Source organism: Homo sapiens, chromosome 8 (assembly GCF_000001405.40).
Source record: "Homo sapiens chromosome 8, GRCh38.p14 Primary Assembly".
NCBI lineage: Eukaryota > Metazoa > Chordata > Mammalia > Primates > Hominidae > Homo > Homo sapiens.
Genome location: NC_000008.11, coordinates 26135439 through 26160263, shown reverse-complemented (window position 1 = coordinate 26160263; position 24825 = coordinate 26135439). Strand labels below are relative to the sequence as shown.

General features: G+C 43.0%; 1 long non-coding RNA gene and 1 pseudogene across 4 annotated transcripts in view, besides 2 other annotated features; one reads left to right on the top strand and one right to left on the bottom strand.

Annotated features, from left to right (window-relative positions):
- Positions 1-24153, top strand: part of LOC105379336 (uncharacterized) — a 73813-nt gene extending 49660 nt beyond the window's left edge. For 2 of the 4 annotated variants that reach the window (XR_001745850.1, XR_001745853.1), the window contains exon 3: positions 23268-24153. This is a non-coding gene — a long non-coding RNA (uncharacterized LOC105379336). Of the gene's footprint in view, positions 1-17057; positions 17172-17722; positions 17896-23267 lie in introns of those variants that run through there. The other 2 variants (XR_001745852.1, XR_001745851.1) reach the window with 2 other exon arrangements.
- Positions 8186-8794: an enhancer, noted in NCBI's record as "H3K27ac-H3K4me1 hESC enhancer chr8:26008986-26009594 (GRCh37/hg19 assembly coordinates)". NCBI's record gives its function as "activates a minimal SCP1, AML or CMV promoter by ChIP-STARR-seq in primed H9 embryonic stem cells {active_cell/tissue: H9 hESC(primed)}" and the evidence as "EXISTENCE:reporter gene assay evidence [ECO:0000049][PMID:30033119]".
- Positions 15444-15644: a silencer, noted in NCBI's record as "peak6960 fragment used in MPRA reporter construct". NCBI's record gives its function as "represses an SCP1 promoter by STARR-seq MPRAs in K562 erythroleukemia cells {active_cell/tissue: K562}" and the evidence as "EXISTENCE:reporter gene assay evidence [ECO:0000049][PMID:32103011]".
- Positions 23266-23384, bottom strand: RNA5SP258 (RNA, 5S ribosomal pseudogene 258; annotated as a pseudogene).
- Positions 24154-24825: the final 672 nt, after the last annotated feature.

Below are 24825 nucleotides of genomic sequence, written 5' to 3'. Positions count from 1 at the left end.
GGAATGTAAGTCCATTAAACCTCTTTTTCTTTCCAGTCTAGAGTATGTCTTTATCAGCAGCATGAAAACGGACTAATACAGTAAACTGGTACCAATTGAGTAGGGCACTGCTGAAAGATACCCAAAAATGTGGAAGCAACTTTGGAACTGGGTAACAGGCAGAAGTTGGAACAGTTTAGAGGGCTCAGAAGAAGACAAGAAAATGTGGGAAAGTTTGGAACTTCTAAGAGACTTGTTGAATGGCTTTGACAAAAATGCTGACAGTAATATGAATGATAAGGTCCAGGCTGAGATGGTCTCAGATGGAGATGAAGAACTTGTTGAGAACTGGAGCAAAGGTGACTCTTGTTATGTTTTAACCAAGAGACTGGCAGAATTTTGCCCCTGCCCTAGAGATTTGTGGAACTTTAAATTTGAGAAAGATGATTTAGGGTATCTGGTGGAAGAAATTTCTAAGCAGCAAAGCATTCAAAAGATGACTTGGGTGCTCTAAGAGCAATCAGTTTTAAAAGAGAAACAGAGCATAAATGTTTGGAAAATTTGCAGCTCGACAATGTGATAGAAAAGAAAATCCCATTTTCTGAGGAGAAATTCAAGCTGGCTGCATAAATTTGCAAAAGTAATGAGGAGCTGAATGTTAAGACAAGACAATGGGGAAAATGTCTCCAGTGTCACAGGTCTTCATGGCAGCCCCTCCCATCACAGGCCCAGAGGCCTAGGAGGAAAATATTGTTTTGTGGGTCAGGCTCAGGGTTCCCGTGCTGTGTGCAGTCTAGGTACTTGGTGCCCTGCATCCCAGCCACTCCAGCTGTTACTAAAAATGGCTGAGGTACAGCTTAGGCCACAGCTTCAGAGGTTGCAAGCCTCAAGCCTTGGCAGCTTGTACGTGATGTTGAGACTGTGGGTTCACAGAAGTCAAGAATTGAGGTTTGGGAACCTCTGCCTAGATTTCAGAGGATGTATGGAAACACCTGGATGTCCAGGCAGAAGTCTGCTATAGGGGTGGGGCTCTCATGGAGAACCTCTGCTAGGGCAGTGCAGAAGGAAATGTGGGGTCGGAGCCCCCACACAGAGTCCCTAATGGGGCATGGCCTAGTGGAGCTATGAGAAGAGGGCCATGGTCTTCCAGTCCCCAGAATGATAGATCCACTGACAGCTTGCACTGTGTGCCAGGAAAGGCTGCAGCTGCAGGAAAAGCTGCAGACACTCAACACCATCTTGTGAAAACAGCTGGGAGGGATGCTGTAGTCTGCAAAGCTACAGGGGCAGAGCTGCCCAAGACCATGGGAACCCGCCTCTTGCATCTGTGTGACTCGAATGCAAGGCCTGGAGTCAAAGGAGATAATTTTGGAGCTTCAAGATTTGACTGCCCTACTGGATTTCAGACTTGCATGGGGCCTGTAGTCCCTTTGTTTTCACCAATTTCTCTCCTTTGGAACAGCTGTACTTACCTAATGCCTGTACCCCCATTATATCTAGGAAGTAACTAACTTGCTTTTGATTTTACAGGCTGATATGGCTTGGCTGTGTCCCCACACAAATATCTTGAATTGTATTTCCATAATTCCCACATGTGGGAGGGACATGGTAGGAGATAGTTTGAATCATGGGAGCGGTTTTCCCGATACTGTTCTCAAGGTAGTGAAGAAGTTTCATGAGATCTGATGGTTTTATCCAGGGTTTCTGCTTCCGCATCTTCCTCATTTTCTCTTGTTGCCACCATGTAAGAAGTGCCTTTTGCCTCCTGCCATGATTCTGAGGCCTCCCCAGCCATGTGGAACTGTAAGTCCAATTAAACCTCTTTTTCTTCCCAGTCTTGGGTATGTCTTTATCAGCAGCATGAAAATGGACTAGTACACAGGCTTATAGGTGGAAGGGACTTGCCTTGTCTCAGATGAGGGGTTGGACTGTGGACTTTTGAGTTAATGCTAAAATGAGTTAAGACTTTGGGGGACTGTCGGGAAGGCATGATTAGTTTTGAAATGTGAGGACATGAGATTTGGGTGGGGCCACGGGTGGAATGATATGGTTTGGCTGTGTCCCCACCCAAATCTCATCCTGAATTATAACTCCCACAATTCCCACATGTCATGGGAGGAGCCTGATGGGAGGTGATTGAATTATGGGGGCAGGTCTTTCCTGTGCTTTTCTTGTGATAGTGAATGAGTCTCACGAGAACTGATGGTTTTAAAAATGGGAGTTGCCCTGCACAAGCTCTCTCTTTGCCCGCCACCATCCATGTAAGATGTGACTTGCTCCTCCTTGCCTTTTGCCATGATCATGAGGCCTCCACAGCCTTGTGGAACTGTAACTCTGTTAAACCTCTTTTTCTTTCCAGTCTTGAGTGTGTCTTTATCAGCAGCATGAAAATGGACTAATATAGTATACTAATGCAGTATTCACTAGAATGGCTAAAATTTAAAAGTTTCACCACACTCAACATTGGCAGAGGATATGGAAGAACTGGAACTCTGTACTGCTGGTAGGAATGTAAAATGATGCAATTGTTTTGAAAACATTTGAAACATTAAACACATTCCTCTCATATGACCTAGACATTCCACTTGTAGGTATTTCCCCAAGAAAAAAGAAATCACATGTCTACACAAAGACTTGTACAGGAATATTAATGTCATCTTTATTTGTAATTGCCTAAAACTGGAAACAACAAGCAAATGTCCATCAGCAGGTAAGTGGATATGCTATGATACTCACATGATACTACACAGCAATAAAAAGGAATGAACTCCTGCTACATGAAGCAACATGGATGAATCTCAAAATAATTATGCTGAGAAGACAGACAAAAAGACTGACAAAAAAATCATACATACTGTATGATTCCATCACTAAAAAAGTCCTAGAAAATGTAAACTAATTGGCCAGAAGGTGAATTAATGGTTACCTTGGGTCAGGGGCTGGTGCCAGAGAGAGATGGATGACAAAGAGACATAAGAAAGTTTTTGGGGATGATGAATATGTTGGTTATTTTGATTGTGGTGATATTCTTATAAATATATATATATGTCAAAATTCATCCAAGTACATGCTTTAAATATGTGCAGCTGATTGTATGTCAATTATACCTCACTAAAGCTAAAAAGGTAAATAAACAAATAAATGAACATAGTAACCTATATACTGTTTTTACACACTAGGAATAACCAGTTAGAACATATAAAGGAAAAAATGTCTTATTCACCACGCCTATACAACATACAAAACAATCTATAATAAATTTAATAAGCAGTGTGATAGAGATTGTCTGGAAAAGCCTATGTAAGTCTTTGTGAAACCACCTTTGCAAAAACTATGGCAGTGAGAAGATGACTGATTCCATCTTGCTTCTGGCTGCACAGGCTGGCTGTCCCTGGTCATTCCTGGTTATAGGCCAAGCTAATCATGGGAGGAATTTAGTTTACAGTTTAACTTGAAGGCAATAATGATAACAGTCTCTCCCTAAAACTAACCCCCTCCTTGCTCAGGGACTGAAGCTGCCTTTATAAAACTAACGAAAGACCACAAGATTAGGATTACTGGGGAGCTGAATTCTGCTAAAATGTAGGCATAGTGTCTATAATCCCTTACTGCTAAGGAGTCGTGTGGCTAGAGGTCACAAGATTTGTGACTTCCCAAAGTGCTCTTCTAGGTAACATCAGTATTGTAGAACCTAAGATTGGTCTTTTGAGATGTTTTTCAGACTTTTGGTTTCTGGTAACCAACTGGCCCCACCTGGACCTGTGAATCATGACTCAGCTGGTCCCAAGGCCTCCATCCAGAGGCAGAATCAGTGCACAGGGACCCTTTTCAGCCCCGCTATGATTTCATCCCCAGCCAGTTAGTGGCACTCATTCCCTAGCCCCCTGCCCACCAAATTATCCATAAATACCCTAGCCTCTGAGTCCTCTGGGAGGCTGATTTGAGTAATAATAAAATTTCTGTCCTTCTACTTGGCTGGCTTTGCTTTAATTACACTTCTTCTGTACTGCAATACCACAGTCTTAGTGAATTGGTTTTGTCTGTTCAGTGGGAAAGAGGAACCCATCAGGAGACTGCTTTTGTAACCATTTGAATCTTTGAAAATCTTCAGAAAAAAACAGATTTGAATGAACAAGAGACGCAATACACTCATGAAGAGACTTAAATGGGTGTAGTGGATGCTGTGATGTGCTACTGAGATTCCCCACTTGGAACGAGACCAAGGCATCATTCCCTTTGCTGCTGAGAGTGTTGGCTGCCAATGGCTTATAGCTCGTTTGTTCTCCAGGAATCTCCCTCAATGAAAGCCACCTCTCTTAAGCTTAAGGCCTCTTCTTGCTGGGTAGTTCACCTCTAGTGAGACTGGTCAATGGGGGGAAGGAAGTTTTTACAAGGGTCTGGTCCCCTTGCCTCAGTTTGGGGCAACTATGAAGTTCCATTTTAGCACTAGAACTCTATCTCCATGGGATCAACTGCTTTGTTATGACTTCATTACAGTTCAACGCTTCCTCTGCCTAATCCCATCTCCTTCTTCCCACATATTAATCCCAAGGATTCTTCCTAATAAATCTACTTATACAAATCTCCTTCTGAGTAGGCTTCCCAGGGAAGTTGACCTACAACAAAGGATAAAGGTGTCAGTTATACCCAAGTAAAAGTACACGTTTAATGCAATTTCTCATCAGAATAACAGTGAAATAATTTTATTAAGTGAAAATAGCTAAGAAATTGAGGGTAGGGGAAGGATAAGAACAACAAAATTGTACTTGAAAGACCAGAAATTTAATTTTATTATAAAGCTATGATAATTTAAACAGCATATTAATGATACGATAATAGAAAAACAGTCAATGAAACAGAAGAGAAAATACCATATTCACTATAAATAACCTCCAAGAGGACATTATCTTTCTGGAATTTTCTCTCTACTCCCATGACTTTTTGAATCCTGTCTCTTCCCTAAGGATATCGATTCCTTGGAACTGTTTTATTTTTATTTTATTTTATTTTATTTTTTGAGACTGGGTCTCACTCTGACATTCAGGCTGGAGTGAAGTGGTGCAATCTCAGCTCACTGCAACCTCTGCCTCCCAGGCTCAAACGATTCTCCCACCTCAGCCTCCCAAGTAGCTGGAACTACAGGCTCATGCCACCATACCTGGCTAATTTTTCTATTTTTTGTAGAGACAGGATTTCACTGTATTGCCCAGGCTGGTCTCAAATCCCTGGGCTCAAGTAATCCTCTTACCTTGGCCTCCCAAAGTGCTAGAATTACAGGCATGAGTCACCACACCTGGCCTCCTTAGAACTATTTTTAATGGAAGCCACTCATTCTCTCATATGGACACTAGTGGTGGTGTTTGCATTCTCTCAGCTCCCTAATAATTTTATTAGGACATTATTTTTACCTCCTCATACAAAATCACTTATTTTTTTAGGTTCCAGCCATTTTATTACTCCTCCTTTTACTTTTCTCATTAATATTCTACAAAAGTGAGCATTGTACTTCTACATTCATTGTGCACTTTAACACCTGGTTGAGTCTTTCTTCCCACCTTAGCATCTACTACCATCTTAAGTAAATTTAATATCTGCATGGGCAACACAACTAATACCCTAGCCTCTTAATGCTTTAACTCAATGGCAATGAACTCCAACTTTCTTCTCCCTGAAACCTACTCCCATGGTCATAGTAGCCCCTTCATCATGAGGAATGTCTCTGCTTCTAAAACCTTAAACTCCAACACATCCATGACCACAGTCTCCTCCCTTCCTCTTTCTCCACAACTTTTCTTCTTTTAAGTGTATACCAAAAAGTATCTGAGCAGGTCTCAATCAATTTAGAGGTTTATTTTGTCAAGTTTGAGGACCATGGCCCGTGACATGGCCTCAGGAGGTCCCAAGAACATGTGCCCAAGGTTGTTGGGTTACAGCTTGGTTTTATACTTTTAAGTGAGACAGAAATTCCAATGCAAGACACAAATCAATACTTGCAAGGTATATGTTGGTTTGGGACATCTCAAAATGGAGGGAATGGGGGCTTCCAGGTCATAGATGGATTCAAAGATTTCCTGATTGGCAAATGGGTGAAAGAGTTAAGCTTTGCCTGAAAAGTTGAGTTCATCATAAAGAAATGCTTGTGTTTATTTATTTATGTATTTATTGAGATGGACTCTTGCTCTGTCACCCAGGCTGGAGTGCAGTGGCACAATCCTGGCTCATTGCAACCTCCACTACCTGGGTTCAAGCAGTTCTCATGCCTCAGCCTCCCAAGTAGCTGGGATTATAGGTATGTGCCACCACACCTGGCTAATTTTTGTATTTTTAGTAGAGATGGAGTTTCACCATGTTGGCCAGGCCAGTCTCGAACTCCTGGCCTCAAGTGATCCACCCACTTTGACATCCCAAAGTGCTGGGATTACAGGCGTGAGCCACTGTGCCTCGCCAGAAATGATTGAGTTTAGATTAGGGGGCTATGGAAGCCAAAGTTCTTGTCATGTACATGAAACATCCAGGTAGCAGGCTTCAGAGCGAATAAATGTGAATGTTTATTATCAGACCCTAAAAAATCTTAGACTCTCTGGGAAAATTCCTATTAAGGGAAGGAGACTCTCTATGGAATGCAAATTTCCCTCACAAGAGACAGCTTTGTGGGGCCATTTCAGAATATGTCAAAGAAATATATTTTGAGGTAAAATACTTTGATTCTTTCAGGGTCATGTGTTGAACCTTGCAGTTAATTGGGGTCTCTCAAGCTCACCTGAAGTTTCTTTCTTTCCTTTTGAACTTGAACCCATGTGGTTTACAAAGGCCTGATCCCTGTCTTTTTGGGACAACTATGAAGTTTCATCCAAGCTTCAGAACTCCCCTTATCAGACAGGAATGATATAGCATCATCACAGGGGAATAAAAACTCCAGATAGCAGTTTCACATGACTAGAGGCTATGGGCTTAAGACCCTGAAACACCTGTGTGGACCAAGCGGGCTAAGACCAACTGGACCCAACATGGTGCTGGATTCGACCTAGGTTTCACTTAGATCCTCATTATATGCTCATTAACATACTCAATTACACACCCACCAGTGCCAGGAGAGTTTTGGGAACATGCATATTTGGTGTAAAAATGCGTGGCATGGCACCACAGTTCCAAGAAATCTCCATCTTTTTCCAGGAATTTTCATGACTATTCCATACCTTGGTTAAAGAAACCCATAAAGGTAGCAGTCCCAAACTCCTTTATGTGCGACTCTCTCTTGAGTATGCCTGCACTCCCCTTTCTTGAGTATGTACTTTTCACTTGCAATAAATTTCCATACTTTCACTATTTTCTGACTTATCTTTGACTTTCTTCTCATGATGGTGTCAAAATCCTGGACACTGGCTGGGGTTGAAGTCCCACCAGCATTTGGGGACCTACCCTGGTATCACCTGGACTCATAGGCTCTCAATTCCTTCCAGCCCATGCTCTGCAATGCTGCCAGAGGAGGCTGTCTAAATGATGGCTTTCATCAAGTTATTCATCTGTTAAGGCATTTCCTTATCACCCTCATCATGAAGCTTAAACTCACTGGTCTGGCACACAAGGCCCGCCATGGTCAGACTCCAAACTTCCCCTCTGACTGCTCCTCTTCTCACTCCTTGTGTTCCCACTATCATGATGTGCATAATGATTTATGCCCTAATGAGTTCCATATCCTGCTGCCTCCACCTGGGAGACCTCCCCACATTCATCTCTTTGCAGACCCACTTCCCCAGCCAGCACTGATTACTCCTCCCTGAAAATCTCCATTGTCCCTCATACATACCTAAGGCACTCGACGCTCCATGTGGAAACTATTTCAGTGTTACAGTCACCTACCAGACTGTTAACATGTCATATTGGGAGTTGAGAGTGGCATCTTCGAAATTATATCACTGCACCTATCACACAGTATGTGACACAAAGCAGATATTAGACAAACAGCTTGGCTGAAAATAAGGAAGAATGCAAGGAAGAAGGTTTTGGGGTTGGATTCCAACGACCTGAATCCCAGACCTAGCTCCATTACTTACCTGTTAAGTGACTGAAGGTGGTGATTTCTTAATCTTTCTTTTCTTTTTTTTTTTTTGAGATGGAGTTTCACTCTGTTGCCCAGGCTAGAGGGCAGTGGTAAAATTTCAGCTCACTGCAACCTCCAACTCCTGGGTTCAAGTGAGTCTCCTGCCTCAGCCTCTTGAGTAGCTGGGATTACATGCATGTGCCACAATGCCTGGCTAATTTTTTTTTGTATTTTTAGTAGAGACAGGGTTTCACTACATTGGCCATGTTGATCTCAAACTCCTGACCTCAAGGGATCCACCTACCTCGGCCTCCCAAAGTGCTGGGATTACAGGCATGAACCACCACACCTGACCAATCTTTCTGATACATATTTACTTCCACCCGGAAATAGACGTAGTAATAGCTACTCTAGAGGGTGGCTTTAAGGAGAAAATGAGAGAACAATGTGAAATGCATAAGACAGTTCCTGATATACAATGAGTCCTCTGTAACTTTCAGGTTTCCTTCTTGTCTTTCTTTCCTCCTTACCTTTTGTCTTCTTCCCCATCATTTGCTGTTTTTCCTGTTGGTTCTCATCTCCTCCTCATGCCTTTGGAACAGCAACAGGAAGAAATACAACTGACTTTGAGCCTAACCATTACCAGCTTCAAAGTGTTCTAACTCCCAGCCCATGACTCAGCCAGGGCTCACCTCATTGTTGCTCCACCTTAATAAATAGTTGACCTTTTAGCTCATCTAACAAGGAATGTTTGCTAGAAACAAACTAAATGTACTCATCTGGGTGTGTCCTGGAGTCTCCCTAATGAGGAACCTCCAAGAGTCTAAGCACTTCACTTAGCAAGCCTTGGGGGGAAAGAAGCTGTGGGATTTGCATAACCAAACCCAACTCCATCCTCAAAAATACACTCAACACTGTTGTGGACATTGAAATCCAGATGCTACTTAACATCATTTAATTTGTACCAATGGAAAATAAAGGGAGCATCACATTATTCCAGTGATTCAGAAAAGAAAATGGGTTGGATACAGAGAAATCACCAATTTGTAAATTTCAACCAGATCTAAGCTTATGCCAGAGTTTCCTGGATGCTTATTTTGCCTAAGAACATGATTTAAAGCATCGACCTGTGGATTATATCCTTACATGCAGACAAGAATGACATTGAAGGCTTAACATGGAAGAAAGAAGAAGCAGGAAAGACGGTAACTAGAAGTGACCTAGAATAGTAAAGCATAAAAGAAATTTAAGGAAACAAAAGGGTAGAAGAGACTCATCAGTAACTATAGCAATTCCATAGGGAGTATAATCCAATTTCCATTTGACATACTAGAAAACTGAGGCTCAGAGAGATTATTAAATAACATATCCAGAGTCACACAGGGAGTTATTAGACACATCAAGTTTCCAAACCAGGTCTGTCCAAGTCCAAAGCCCATGTTATTTCTAATCTTTCAGGTAGTCTCAAAGAAAGCATAGTAAACACATATAAAATGAATCCACCAGGTTGCCTAGGGTTTATTTAGCTTTATTCATCATCACCTGGCAGAGAAATATTTTAGAACATTCAAAACCATTAGGAGAAGACTCCCGTTTCCAGTCCAGCGTATAAGGAGCTTGGAAGCCATCACTCTGTCCTAACAAGTAAAAAGCTGAACAAACTACAATTCAGCAACTCTTCTTGGGTCCATCAGAGGATTAAGGTCACAGGTCATATTGCTTGGAGAGACAGACAGGCAGGTACAGAGAACCACAGCTTACTCCAGGGGAAACCCATGAGCAGAAACTTCTGCAGAAACAAGTAGAGAAACCTGAAGTGTAAGTAACGAATTGCTGGAGACTCAGAGTGGACAAGTCGAGAGTAAAAACCTTCAGGGAGGTGACCAGTCTTAGAGGGGAGCACTCCCACTTTTGTGAGTTTTAACTCCGGTGGCTCTAAGGTGTTCTCAGAGTGAAGATCAAAGGAAAAAAAAAATCGCCTCATGCTTCCAGAAGGGGAAGAGAAAAGAAACCATGGTGAAATATGTCAGAGCACTCTGTTCTTCACAAGGTCTGCTCTCAGGAGAACCTCTTGCATCAGAGCCTAAGTGACCTGGGAAAGGGAAATACCCAACTCTAGCTCCCTCTAGCCATCCTGTTCCTCCTAAGCGGGGAAAAGTGAGAAGCACACTTGAAGTGCACAGTCCAGAGGTACAAGCTTCCTAAAAGACTGAGACCTGTTCATGGGACCATAGAGTGCTCCCCCTCCCTCCACACCTTACCACCATACCACTAAAGATTGACTTACAGCAGGTTTTTTTTTTTTTAACCCAGTATAGCATGTCCACTTTCAACAAAAAATTGCAAGGCACACAAAAAGGCAAAACAAAACAAAAAACAAACAAACAAACCCCCCCCCCCCCCACCACAGTTTGAGTATACAGAATGAGCATCAGAACCAGACTTAGGTATAATAAGGTTGGCATTATCTGACCAGCAATTTAAAATAACAATGATTAATACATTAAAAGTAGACAGTATGTAAGCCACACCCTGGCTTGTAAAGCTCTTTGTGAGAAGGTAATAATTCTTTGCATGTCACATTTCAGCTTACAGCTAGGTAATACCAATATACATACACACTTGGGAAAAGTGAGCAAGAAAAGAAAATGTGGCTGGGTGTGGTGGCTCATGCCTGTAATCCCAGCACTTTGGGAGGCAGAGGCAGGAGGATTTCTTGAACCCAGGAGTTCGAGTCCAGCCTGTGCAAAATAGTGAGATCCCTGTCTGTACAAAAAAATTTGTTTTAATTAGCTGGGCATCGTGGCACATGCCTGTAATCCCTGCTACAGGGGAGGCTGAGGTGGGAGGATCACTTGAGCCTGGGAGGTCAAGGCTGCAGTGAGCTGTGATTGTGCCAATGCACTCCAGCCTGGGTGACAAAGCAAAACCCTGTCTCAAGAAAAGAAAAAAGAAAGAAAGAAAAGGAAACGCACTGGGTGAGAGGCTGGCACAGGAGGTGGCAGAAGTAATTTGAAGGGATGCTATAGGGCATTGTGCCATAAGACTTTGAGTTTACCTGTGTATTACATAGACATATACCTTGATAGGGCTCCCACACAGACATTGATTGAGATACCTCTGGGCTCCATCTAAGGATGACCTGGCGTTGTGGGTTTGGTATCAGTAGCTGCAGTTTCCCTGCCAGGCTAATATGTGGCATGACTTGGGGCATTATTTCTGGAAGTTCAGCTTCAAATCTTTTTTTTTCTTTTTTCAGAATGTCCAAAATACTGTAAGCTACTTAAAATCCTCTAATAAATTTGTTTTCTTCCTAACAAATAATACTGGCCTTGCTGAAAACCAGATCCAAGACATTCTATAATTCTTAAAAGCTTATTTAGAAATATAGAGGCAACTGTTAGGGAAACAATGGTTAAAAGAGTTCAGAGCGGCTGCTTCAGAGAAGCAGCAGTCGAGAATAAGGAAGGATGGACATAGTTGACATTTTTTGTTAAAAACCTGGTAGTACAGCTGGGTGTGGTGGCTCATGCCTGTAATTCCAGCACTTTCGGACGCTGAGACAGGCAGATCACCTGAGGTCAGGAGCTCGAGATCAGCTTAGCCAACATGGCAAAACCCCATCTCTACAAAAAATACAAAAATTAGCCAGGCATGGTGGCATGCGCCTGTAATCCCAGCTACTTGGGAGGCTGAGGTAGGAGAATCGCTTGAACCTGGGAGGTGGAGGCTGCAGTGAGCCGAGATCACGCCACTGCACTCCAACCTGGGCAACAGAGTGAGACTCTGTCTCAAAGAAACAAAGCAAAATGAAAAACAAACAAACAAAAAAACCTGGTAGTACTAGATGACTTTTTATCCTATATACATATATTTAAAAAATATATTTTTCTAATAAAATAAAAAAAGGTTTATGGGAACCATTAAAAGAGCATCATTCACATGAACAAACTCTCAGGCTAGTAAGTGCAGAGGAAGATGTTTGATAATGCAGTGCAGCAAGTGGTATAGAGTCCTGGCTTCTACATGTTGAAGAGGTCCTTTGAAGGTCCTGGTCCCTCAATCCAATTAGGTTCTCCCTGAACTGGAATATGCTTCCATTCCATCCCACCCATCCAGAGCAACATCCAGCCCTCCTCATCTACCACAGAGCAGAACAGAGAGATGAGTCCATGTCAACTCTGGCTGTATGGAGGCAAAGCAGGCAGTGACTGTGTTGTGAGAACTTTGCCATTAGGATTTAGAGCAATGACGCCAGGAAATGAAGGTGAAGGACAAAGGGGATGTTGTGTGGGCAGCAATGCAAAACCAGGGGCACTGGACAGGGTCTGAGTGGGACTAAGCAGAGAGGGACCTTTCTCTGCCATGTTTGTCCAAGGTATTTCCCTGATGTTCCAGAGAGAAGGGATAGGAAGTTCACAATAAAATTAGACTGTGATTACTCTTTTTACAACTGAGGAAACTGAAGCTTAAAAATGTTAAACAACCTGCCCAAACCAATCCAGTTGTTGAAGAGGAAAACAAACACACCTCAAATACTGCTGTCAGCATGGTCATTTGGAAACCAGCATGCCTATTGGGATTCAACAAGCATTTATTGAGCACCTACTAGGTGCTTGAACCTTTGGTAAGTGTTTGTGCACATAGCCAAGAGGCATAAGAGCATTCATGTCCTGCAGCCTCAAAATCCTTCTCCTAGGCATCATCCAAAAAGCAATCTAGCAGACCAGAAAAACTATAGTCATGAAAAGGTTTCTACCAGCATTATCTATTTGGGAATAGTTGGAAACAGCAGAAATAGCTAAGAGTAAATTAAGACTATCTTTTTTTTTTTTTTTGAGACAGGGTCTCATTCTGTCACCCAGGCTGGAGTGCAGTGGTGCAATCATGGCTCACTGCAGACTTGACGTCCTGGACTCTGGACTCAAGTGATCCTCCCACCTTGGTCTCCTGAGTAGCTAGAAGTACAGGTACTTGCCACCATATCAGAATAATTTCTTTTTTTTTTTTTTTTTTTTTGTAGAAACAAGGTTTTGCCATGTTGTCCAGGTTGGTCTTGAACTCCTGGACCCAAGTGTTCCACCTGCCTTGGCCTCCCAAATTGCTGGGATTACAGGTGTGAGTCACTGCACCTGGCCAAGGCTCAAGGTTTTAAAGGCATTTTCTATGGCCGTAACATCTATTTTTATAAAAGTTATGTAGAAAAATAAGAAGAATCTAATGCACTGCTAACCTTAAATATAAAACAATTGTATTGCTCTATGATAACTGTAGAAAAAATGTATATACAGATACTCCTCAAGGTTCAATGGGTTACACCCCAACAAATCCATTGTAAGTTGAAAATATGATAAGTTGAAAATACATTTAACACACCTACCTTCCAAACGTCATAGTTTAGCCTACTGTATTAGTCAGGGTTCTCTAGAGGGACAGAACTAATAGGAGATATATATATATATATATGAGTTTATTAAAGAGTATTAATTCAGTTGATCACAAGGTCTCTCAATAGGCCATCTGCAAACTGAGGAGCAAGAAAACCAGTCCAAGGCCCAAAGCTGAGGAACTTGGAGTCCAATGTTCGAGGGCAGGAAGCATCTGGTGTGGGAGAAACATGTAGGCTGGGAGGCTAGGCCAGTGTAGTCTTTCCATGTTTTTCTGCCTGTTTCATATTCTGGCCATTCTGGCAGCTGATTAGGTGGTGTCCACCCAGATTAAGGGTGGGTCTGTCTTTCCCAGACCACTGACTCAAATGTTATTCTCCTTTGGCAAGACCCTCACAGACACACGCAGGATCAATACTTTGCATCCTTCCATCCAATCAAGTTGACACTCAGTATTAACCATCACATATACCATTGCAGATTTAATTTGCGTTTCCTTAATGACCAGGGATGCTGCACATCTTTTCATCCTTCTGGCATTTAATATCATTCTACAACATTACGATTGAAGACTGCATAGTGTTTCATTTTAGAGGTATCACAATTTAGTTAACCAATTCTTTAGAATAGGACTTTTTGGCTGCTTATGATTTCTCTTTGGCTATTATAAATTTTGTTGAGATAACTATTTGTATAATTAAATCTTGGAGTTACATCATTGACCATTTAGACTAAAATTCCTAGATTTCCAATCTGCCTTCTTGTTTCAGCTCTCATACTGTGTGCTTATTGTATTTAGTTTTGTCAGAAATCTAACTTTCTAATTATTTCTACAAGATTTTTATTGATTCAGTTGGATTTTGTAGGTACACAAATAAATAACATATAAGTAATGATATTTATTTCCTTTGAATAATCATGTCTTGGTTACTTTTTTCTTTATCCAGTCTCATGGGTGAGAACTCAAATAATACTGGTATCTGTCTTTTTGCTGACTAACATAGTCGATTTAGTATCAAAATAAGATATTGGCATTATAGTATTAATTCTTTAAATAGACTTGTATTCCATCCTAATTTGCTATGATTTTGTTAAGAAGTTTACCTTTAAAGTAGTTACGTGTCTTTTTTCACAATTATTTAAATAATTAGGAGTCTTACCTTTTCCCCTTTTTACACATAAAAATAGAATCAAATCTATAAACTATGGTCTAATTTTTAAAAGTGAACTTAGCCTTTTAGAGTGAGCAACTTGCCAAGTGTTTAATATCATTCTACAACATTCTGATTGAAGACTGCATAATATTTCTTTCTCTTTTCTTTCTTTTTTAGACAGAGTCTTGCTCTGTTGTCCAGGCTGGAGTGCAGTGGTGCAATCTCGGCTCACTGCAACCTCTGCCTCCTGGGTTCAAGCACTTCTTGTGCCTTAGCCTCCCAAGTAGCTGGGACTACAGGCATGTGCCACCACATCCAGCTAATTTTTGTATTTTTCATAGAGTCAGGATTTCACCATATTGGCCAGGCTGGTCTCGAACTCCTGGCCTCAAGTGATCTGCCTGCCTCAGCCACCCAAAGTGAACCACCGTGCTCTGCCTGAAGACTGCATGGTATTTCATTTTAGAGGTATCATAATTTAGTTAACCAATTCTCTATTACAGGACTTTTAAGCTAATTATAATTTCTCTTTAGCTATTATACATTTTGTGAGATAAATATTCTTGTAATTAAATATTGGGGTACATCTCTGCCTATTAATTTAGGTTAGAATTCCTTGATTTCCAACGGTAGGTCAAGGAATCTGAACATTTTTAAGGCTTTTGGTTATTCACTATGACTTTTCTCTCAAGAGAGTTAGCGGATATTTGCATGCTTACCAACATTCTAATCTATTCTGATGATTTGATAGGTGATTAATGCTATCACAGTAATTTGCATTTGCCTTTGAAAACACTGAATATCTTAAATGTGTATTTTATTTTTATTTTCTTTTTAAATGCTTTATTTACTGTCTTATTTTATGTTCAGTCGGTCCTCATTATTTGTGGATTCTGTACTTGCAAATTCACCTACTAACTAACATGTATTTGTAACTTCGAAATCAGTCAATACTCATGGTGCTTCCATGGTCATACTCAGATATGTGCAGAGTGGTGAAACATTTGGGTAACCTGACACCCATGTTCCCAGCTGTGGTGGACCAAGACAATAATCTGCCTCTTGTTTCAGCTCTCACACGGTAAACAAGGACCCTTTTTGTAGTCTATTTAGTTCCATATTTTTTTTTGCATTTTTGTGTCTTTTGTTGGTGATTTCACTGTTTCAGATGGTCCCCAAGCATAGCACTAAGGAGATGTCTAGTGTTCCTAAGCACAAGAAGGCTGTGCTGTACCTTATTGAGAAAATACATGTGTCAGATAAGCTTCACTCAGGCATAAGTTACAGTGCTTTTAACCATGAGTTCAAGGTTAATGAATCAGCAACATATATTAAATAAGGTGTCTCCGAACAGAAACACACATAAAGCAAGGTTATATACTGATCAGTTGATTAACATATGACCAGAAAGAGGTTTATAAGCATGTAATGCTGTTTTTGGTTTTTGTTTTTGTTTTTTTCCATCTAGGAGCAATGGCTCAGTACTTGCAGAGTCATGTTTTAGTGGCTTTATAAAACATAACTGCCATAGGCCGGGTGCAGTGGCTCACACCTGTAATCCCAGCACTTTGGGATTACAGGGGCAAGCCACCATGCCCGGCTAATTTTTGTATTTTTAGTAGAGATTGGGTTTTGCCATGTTGCCTAGGCTGATCTCGAACTCCTGGCCTCAAGTGATCCACCCATTTTGGCCTCCCACAGTGCTGGGATTATGGACATGAGCCACCATGCCCAGCCCAGAATATTTTCATAGGTGCTATGACACTTGTATTCTCTTTAACAATGCTCTGATGGGAGGTCTGCCCAGTGTCCTTGGTTTCATGTAAACAGTAGAGAAAGATGCTTTAGAAACCTCCTCGGATCTTAAGGCGGGGAAGTTGTCAATAGAAATACCCATCACCAGTTCAGCAGTGCATAATTCTGAGAGGAAAATGGAGACTGTTAAAGCTACGGTAGGTGGGAGAGAGGGGGGGACATTTTACTTTTGTCCATTAAAAGTAAAATTTTAATGGTTAAGGGGTCGTCTTTTGCACCTGGCTCTGTTTGGGCCAGTTTCTACACCTGTAGTTTTGCGTGGCAAGATCATGGTGCTGCTGCCTGGGACATCAAGCCCAAACCCCTGTCACCCCATCCAGGTACCTGTTTTCCTAATTACCACATGAAAGCTGGGGGTGGGACCTGGGAAGGGGAGGTTATCTGGAGGATAGCTCAGTGCTTCTCACTTAGATTATCTGTGCTCCAATCTCTATGAACTTGCGCCTTGAGGCTAGGATGAGGAGGCTGCCATACGATAAGAAGAATTTACAGAGCCAGTTTTTCCAGTCTTGGAAGGAGAACTTGCGACATTGATGTGGAGAATGGTGATGGCAGGCAGATCAGTCGTGATTGTGCTGCTGGGCAGGGGGTGGCTGTGGGGCTCTTATGTCACAATGCTTTTTACCCAGAGACTTGGGTGTGCTTCTACATACAGAAGAACAGCACTAGGACCCAGAGAGCTGGTCCTAAGCATCACAGAATCCCAGTCTCTTCAGCAATGGCTCAGCCAACATGGGCCCACAAGAGGTCATGAACCATTGGTTTAATGGCTCCGTGCCACTTGTAAGCCAGCAGGTAACAGGAGGATATTATGACCTCTGAGACCTGGAGCTCAGTACCAGATGGCCCCACCCTGGGACACCATTTCTAGTGTGCCACTCTTCCTGAGACCTGGGCTCAGTGCCAGATGGTATATTATGTCCTGGCTCTGCTTGGAACACCATTTCTAACATGCCACTCTTTCTCTCACCATGGGATCCACCCCTAGCTGTCTGAAAGATACTATTGAGCTACCAGTTAATTGAAGTTGGAGAAACACAACTCCCTACCCTTCACCTCTCTGTGCTTACAGCATGGTATCTGTGAAGAATGCAGGTCTTTCCCAGCCTTAGCTTAGAATGGAATTGACATCTGTCTCTCTTTCTCTCCCTGTCTCATCTCCTCTCTCTCCTACATTACTAACCTGCTGAGTCCTTATTTTCCTTAACCATCCTCTATTAGCCTTGGAAATGACAGATATGTTGATGGTGAAGGTGGAGGCCCTGATGTCCTTGCTCCAGATGTCAGAACCATTGGCCTGATGTCGACAGCTGCAGCAGCACTGGTTGTTTTGTTTGCCCTTCCAGATCCACTCTCCATCCTTCTCTACTCTGTCTGTGCTGTGGGAGGCTGACCCCATCTGTTTACTTCAGTGGAGCACTAGAGCCTGCAAGAACTGATTGTATGCATCTCCTCCTAACTCCGTGTTTGGTGACTGTGGTAGGAATATTTACACTATGGACACTGGCAAATACTACAAGTAAGCATGCATGCACACATACATGTCTCAGAGCTTGTTGTTAAATGTTTATTTACTAGCTGACCACTGGGGCAACATCAGTATATTCCTTGCCTCTGGCTTCTGCTTGGGTTTGGCCACTGGGTGGTACTTGCAAGGAATTGAATAGAGCATGGTAAGAGAATCTACTCTCCTGGCCTCCCTAACACATTCTCAGATTGGCTGAATCCCTCTCCAAAGGCTTCAGCTGTGGTCAAGCACCCACTCAATAAACCCATCATCTCTGGATTCTGGATACTCCTTCCCTTTCCTTCTTGACATCTGTATTAGGCCATTCTTGCATTGCTATGAAGAAACACCTGAGGCTGAGTAATTAATAAAGAAGAGGTTCACAGTTCTGTAGGCTGTTACAGGAAGCATGGTGCTGGCATCTGCTCAGCTTCTGGGGAGGCCTCAGGAAGCTTCCAATCATTACTGAAGGTGAAGGGAAGCAGGCATCTCACATGGCCAGAGAGGGAGCAAGGGGTGGCGGGAGGTGCCACACTTTAAGACAGATCTTATGAAACTCACTATTGTGAGGACAACACCAAGCCATAAGGGATCTGCCCCCATAACCCAAATATCTCCCACCAGGCCCCATCTCCTACACTGGGGATTAGATTTCAATGTGAGATTTGGGGGGACTAATATCCAAACTATATACAAATCTATGGATGGTAATGGACCCAGGTGCCATAGTATCTCTCCCTGGGTTCCCTAAATCCTACCTACATCAATAGCCCCATACATAACACTCTTCTCTAAAAACTCATCTGAGTGGGTATTAGCTGGTTCCTTCTGACTAATGCAAAAGCCGGGCATACTCAGTCTAGTAGGAATGCCTGCTGAGTGCACTTCCTGTGTCTGCATATAGATGCTAAATGCAAGAGCTGTAGTTTTCAAACTCTCTCTATTTCTCTCTCTCTCTTTTTTTTTTTTTTTTTTTTTTTTTGAGACAGAGTCTCACTCTATCCCCCAGGCTGGAGCAGAGTGGTGCAATCTCAGCTCACTGCAACCTCTGCCTCCCAGGTTCAAGTGATTCCTGTGCCTTAGCTGGGATTAGAGGCGTGTGCCACCACACCTAGCTAATTTGTGTATTTTTTAGCAGAGACAGGGTTTCCCCATGTTGGACAGGCTGGTCTCAAACTCCTGACCTCAAGTAATCCACCCACTTAGGCCTCCCAAAGTGCTGGGATCACAGGCATGAGCCACCACACCCAACCTGCAGTTATGATTTCTGATAGAAGTGGTATCTCTCATTTGTCTTTCAGTCCTCCAATACCCAATTAATCAGTTCCTTTATTCTTTCTGTTAACGTAACTGGTGGTGTTTAGTTTTCCAAGCCAGACCCTGACCAATATAGACTCCTTGAATCTTCAACATGGACCCTAGGTTAACAGCATCTGATGTCTCAGTTAGTTAGATAGTACCCATCTCGAGAAAGAATCAGGGATCATAAGCGAGGGTTTGTGACTATCAAAACTTAGTAAGATTGCCAGGCACAGTGGCTCACACCTGTAATCCTAGCACTTTGGAATGCTGGGGTGGAAGTATTGCTTGAGCCCAGGAGTTCGAGATCAGCCTGGGCAGCATAGCGGGATCTTGTGTCTACCAAAAAATTTTAAAAATTAGTCAGGTATTGTGGTGTGTGCCTGAAATGGTTTGGCTGTGTCCCCACCCAAATCTCATCTTGAATTGTAGTTCCCATAATCCCCACGTGTTGTGGGAGGGACCTGGTGGGAGTTAATTGACTCATGGGGGTGGTTACCACCATGCTGCTGTTCTCATGACAGTGAGTGAGTTCTCATGAGATCTGATAGTTTTATAAGGGGCTTTTTCCCCTTTTGCTCAGTGCTTCTCTTGCCTAGCACATTGTAAGATGTGACTTTGCTCCTTGCCTCCCGCTGTGATTGTGAGTCCTCCCCAGCCTTGTGAAACTGTGAGCCAATTAAACCTCTTTCCTTTATAAATTACCTGGTCTCAGGGATGTCTTTATTAGCAGCATGAGAACAGACTAATACAGCACCTGTAGTCCCAACTACTCAGGAGGCTGAGGCAGAAGGTTCACTTGAACCAGGCGGGTTTGAGGCCACAGTGAGCTGTGAATGTACCACTGCAATCCAGCCTGAATGACAAAGTAAGACCTCACCTCAGAAACAAAAACAGAAGTGAGCCCCTCAAAACTTAGTAAGACTTTCATGTTTGTGTGCTTTTCCCCTTGTTTTAAACATCTCAGTTACAACTGTATTGTGCCCTTGCAGTAATACTTAAAATGAAATGGACTCAGAATTTGTCTTTAGGAGAAGTGAGAAAATGGGGGACTGGCTTAATAACCAGCAAGGGAAGTGAGGTGGGGAACAACATCTTCTTTTTATTAACCTCTCTCAGAGATCTAGCATTTCCTTTCCTTATGCACATAGGCTAAAAATAAAGAAAATCACAGTAGTATTAGCGGTACATGCAACTCTGTTACTAATACTTTCATAACACAGAGTTGCTGCAGATATTTCAAGGGTGAGGGTCAGAGGTGGTCTTGGATGGAGAAGCTCCCCATGGGGAAGAGGGAGGGGGCAGCACTAAAGAGAAAATAAAAGTGGTCAAGGTCAGACGCGGTGGCTCACCCCCCTAATCCCAGCACTTTGGGAGGCCGAAGCAGGCTGATCACCTGAGGTCAGGAGTTCAAGACCAGCCTGGCCAACATGGTGAAACCCAGTCTCTACTAAAAATTCAAAAAAATTAGCCGGGCGTTGTGGCACATGCCTGTAATCCCAGCTATTTGGGAGGCTAAGGCACGAGAATTGTTCAAACCCAGGAGGCGGAGGTTGTACTGAGCCAAGATAGCTCCACTGCACTCCAGCCTGGGTGACAGAGTGAGACTCTGCCTCAAAAGCAAAGAAACAGGCCAGGCACAGTGGCTCACGTCTGTAATCCCAGCACTTTGGGAGGCTGAGGCAGGTGGATCACAAGGTCAAGAGATCGGGACCATCCTGGCCAACATGGCGAAACCCTGTCTCTATTAAAAATACAAAAAATTAGCTGGGCGTGGTGGCGCATGCCTGTAGTCCCAGCTACTCGGGAGGCTGAGGCAGGAGGATCACTTGAACCTTGGAGGCAGAGGTTACAGTGAGCCAAGATCACGCCACTGCACTCCGGCCTGGTGACAGAGCAAGACTCCGTCTCAAAAAACAAACAAACAAAACAAACAAAGAAACACAAAGCAAACAAACAAAAAACAAAATAAAAACCAAAATGGGGTTGAGCTCCTGGTACTAGGGCAGGGAAGACAAGAAGAACATGGAAGCTGGGCCTGAGAACTGACTATGGGAATTCCGCAGGAAAAAAGCTTTGGTGCCCTTTAACCCAGTGATCCTGCTTCTGGGAAGCTATCCTAGGAAAATAACCCAAAAGGAAAACTATCCAAACCCTTGACTCTTTCCAGCCTGTCTGGCTTGTGGGTACAGATGAGAACCCATTAACATTGATGCCTATAGTCCACACACTCACTGGGTCAACTACATAACTGGAGGAGCTAAGCCCTTGCCTCAGAATCCCTCCATCAGTTCTGGGAGATCTCTGCCAGTGTCTTGCATGTGGGAAGGACCAAGTCTCCTTCTGCCCTGCTCCAGCCTGCTCGTGGGGCCTCAGCCGTTAGCGGGTTGCCCCTCACTCTGCCTCTGCTGCCCCATCTGCATGAAAATGCTACTTATGGGCCATTTTTGTATTTCCCCGACTCCTGGCTACTGTGGTTTTCACGCCTGGACCAGGAAGTGACCCATCTTTGCCCCAGGCCTCGTAAGACCTTTCCTCAAAAAGACAACTACTCCTGCCCATTCACTTCTCTCTAAAAAAGATGAGTACCACTGTCTGAGGTCAACTGTAGAACAAACCCAGCATCGTCCATTTTTCTTGCCGCCCCCGTCTCTCTCCCTACTAGGCCAGAAACAGCCCATGCCCATTGCATATCATCTTGTGGAAAGAGGTGCCTGAAAAATTGCCAGTACTTCACCTTCAACCTTCTTTTAGGCTCCCAGACTCTTTTCAAGAGTGGTGATCTGAGTAATGCACTAAACTGTTCACTGTAACATTAGGTCCAACAGTGAAAAATGGAAAGCAATCTAAAAGGATTGCTGGGTGACTGGGTGAATTATGCAGTATAACCTCTTGTGAGATATACAGAGCCAATAACAATTGTGAGGACCCCATATAACATAAAAAAGTGCTTAGGATTTAATTGTAAGTGATAAAGAGAATACATTTTACTGTACATGACATTGACTTCAACTACATAAAAATGATACATGCCAATGAAATGAAACGAAAATGAACTTGAACCAACAAAAAGCAGTTCAACTTGGAGTGTTGATAGTGTGGGACAAATTTTTCCATTCCTTTAGAGTCCTATTAGTTTATTTATAATATCATGTATTTAATAAGAATAAAAAATACTGGAAGAAAGTAATAAAAGGCTTGATCCTGCTTTGAGATCTCCTTTGAACATAACTCAGGTTGTGTTTGAGCTGGGAGGGGGATGGGGGTCAGCCTGACCAGGGATATGAGGTTGACCCTACTATTCTCTCTGGGAGCATTTCCAGCTTGAATTTCTAGAAGCTGTACAAAGGTGCTTCTTTTCTATAGTGGCAACGTATAATCCCAAGGTTTCAGGAAGGAAGAGTAATCATGCCTCATTGTGGAGTTGCCTTTAGTCCATTTGGGCTGCTATAACAACAACAAAACAAAAAACAAAAAACAAACAAACAAACAAACAAACAAACAAAAACCTTAGACTAGATAATTTATAAACAACCAAAATGTATTTTTATTTTACTATCATTTTTTTGAGACAGAGTCTCACTCTGTTGCCCGAACTGGAGTGCAATGGTAGGATCTTGGCTCACTGCAACCTTCACCTCCTGGGCTCAAACAATCCTCCCACCTCAGGCTCCTGAGTAGCTTGGACTACAGGCATTACAACACCTAACTAATTTTTTTGGTATTTTTTGTAGAGATAGGGTTTCACCATGTTGCCCAGGCTGGTCTCAAACTCCTGGCCTTAAGTGATCCTCCTGCCTTGGCCTCTCAAAGTGCTGAGATTACAGGTGTGAGCTACCATGACTAGCCTAATAACAGAAATTTATTGCTCATGGTTCTGGAGGCTGGGAAGTCCAAGATCAAGGTGCCAGCGGATTCAGCGCCTCTGCTTCAAGATGGTGCCTCTTGTTGCATCCTCACATGGTGAAAGGGTCAAAAACACACCCTTTTGCCCCTTTTATACGGTCACTAATCCCAGTTATTAGAGGATAGCTCTTATGACCTAAAAACTTTCCAAAGGCCTCACTTCTTTTTTTCTTTTTAAGCCTACAGCACCCAGTATTCCCAGGCAGTCTTCCATCTAAGGACTAACCAGGCTTTATCTTGCTTAGCTTCCAAGGCCAGGTGAGATCGGATGCATTCAGGTTGGTATAGCTGTAGATAGCCCCACCTATTTATACCTTCACACTGGGGGTTATGTCCCAACATAGGAATTTTTTTGGGACACCAACATTCAGACCACAGCAGGAGTGTTGGAGACCAATTAGAATGTTGACATTTGATAATTGCCCTCTTCAAAACTGGCTGAAGAGAAAGGAATCTGACTGATTTTTGAAGCTAGTGCTCTTTTGCAGGTGCCATCACCTGTTTGTTGTGTGAACTTGCTCTCTGTCCTCCTGGAGTCAGCTACTAAAACTTCTCATCCACAGTGCTGGCCCCTGAATCCTGGCTAACAAAGCCTTACCCTATGGACAGGAAGAGAAATGAGACACAACGTTGCCCAGGAGCTGGGTATTGGTGATGACTCCAAGCCCTACTTCTCTTCCACTTGCTAGGGCTCTGCTTGCTCCATTGGTTGCCAAATCCACATCTGGATTTTCCTGTTCACTGGGCCCGTTTCGACTCATGATTTGCTTTGGACTTTCCACTTGGTTCTATGCATTGCTCTCTGTGATGATCCTGGTGGTTCAGCCTCTGCATTTTGACACAGAAAGCCCCTGGTAGCAGTATGGATGGCCATGTTGGCCTGGACCTGAAGAACACTGAATCTCACCCACCAGGAACTGGACTCCCAAACTCCTGGCTGCTGACTCCAGGAATTCCTATAGCTATAAATGTCTACATTGTTTTATTTTGATTCCACTTTGTTTATTTGGATCTGTGTATCTGCCTCTGAACTCTGTATCTTGTATCTTTTATTTTTATTTTATTTTTTTTTTTGACACAGGGTCTCACTCTGTTGCCCAGGCTGGAGTGCAATGGTGTGATCACTTGAGCCCAGGAGGTTGTGCAGCCTCAACCTCCTGGGCTCAAGCAATGGGTAGCCAGGACTGCAGGCTAGCGCCACCACAGCTGGCTAAGTTTTCAATTTCATGTAGAGGCAGGGTCTCCTTATATTGCCCAAGATGATCTCGATTTCCTGGGCTCAAGCGATCCTCCCACCTTAGCCTCCCAAAGTGCTGGGATTGCTGGTGTGTGCCACCACGCCCAGCCTCTTGTACCTTTTGTAATTGTTCCTTGGCTCCAACTACTACACAGGGGCATGAAGGGGTATGGGCCACCCCTAGCAGGGCCTCTCTCATTCTTTCCTGTCTAGAGACGCAGAATGGGACCCTTAGAGAGCAATGATCTTCTTCGTTGCTCCCTGGGTTAAATAGGAAACATAACACCTGCTCTGTGAGTCTTACTGAAATCCTATACCTCCAACTGTTCATGGATGTGAAGTTATTTAAATACTTTGGGAGAAAGTACAAATCTTGTTACTTTTTAAAGGAACTGCTAAAGTACTTTGGACACTGTGCTTTTCAATATGATGATTTGTTAGGAGACTCACTCAGAGGCTTCCCCAGCAGGTGCTCCGGTCCCTTGCTGAGGGCACTGCAG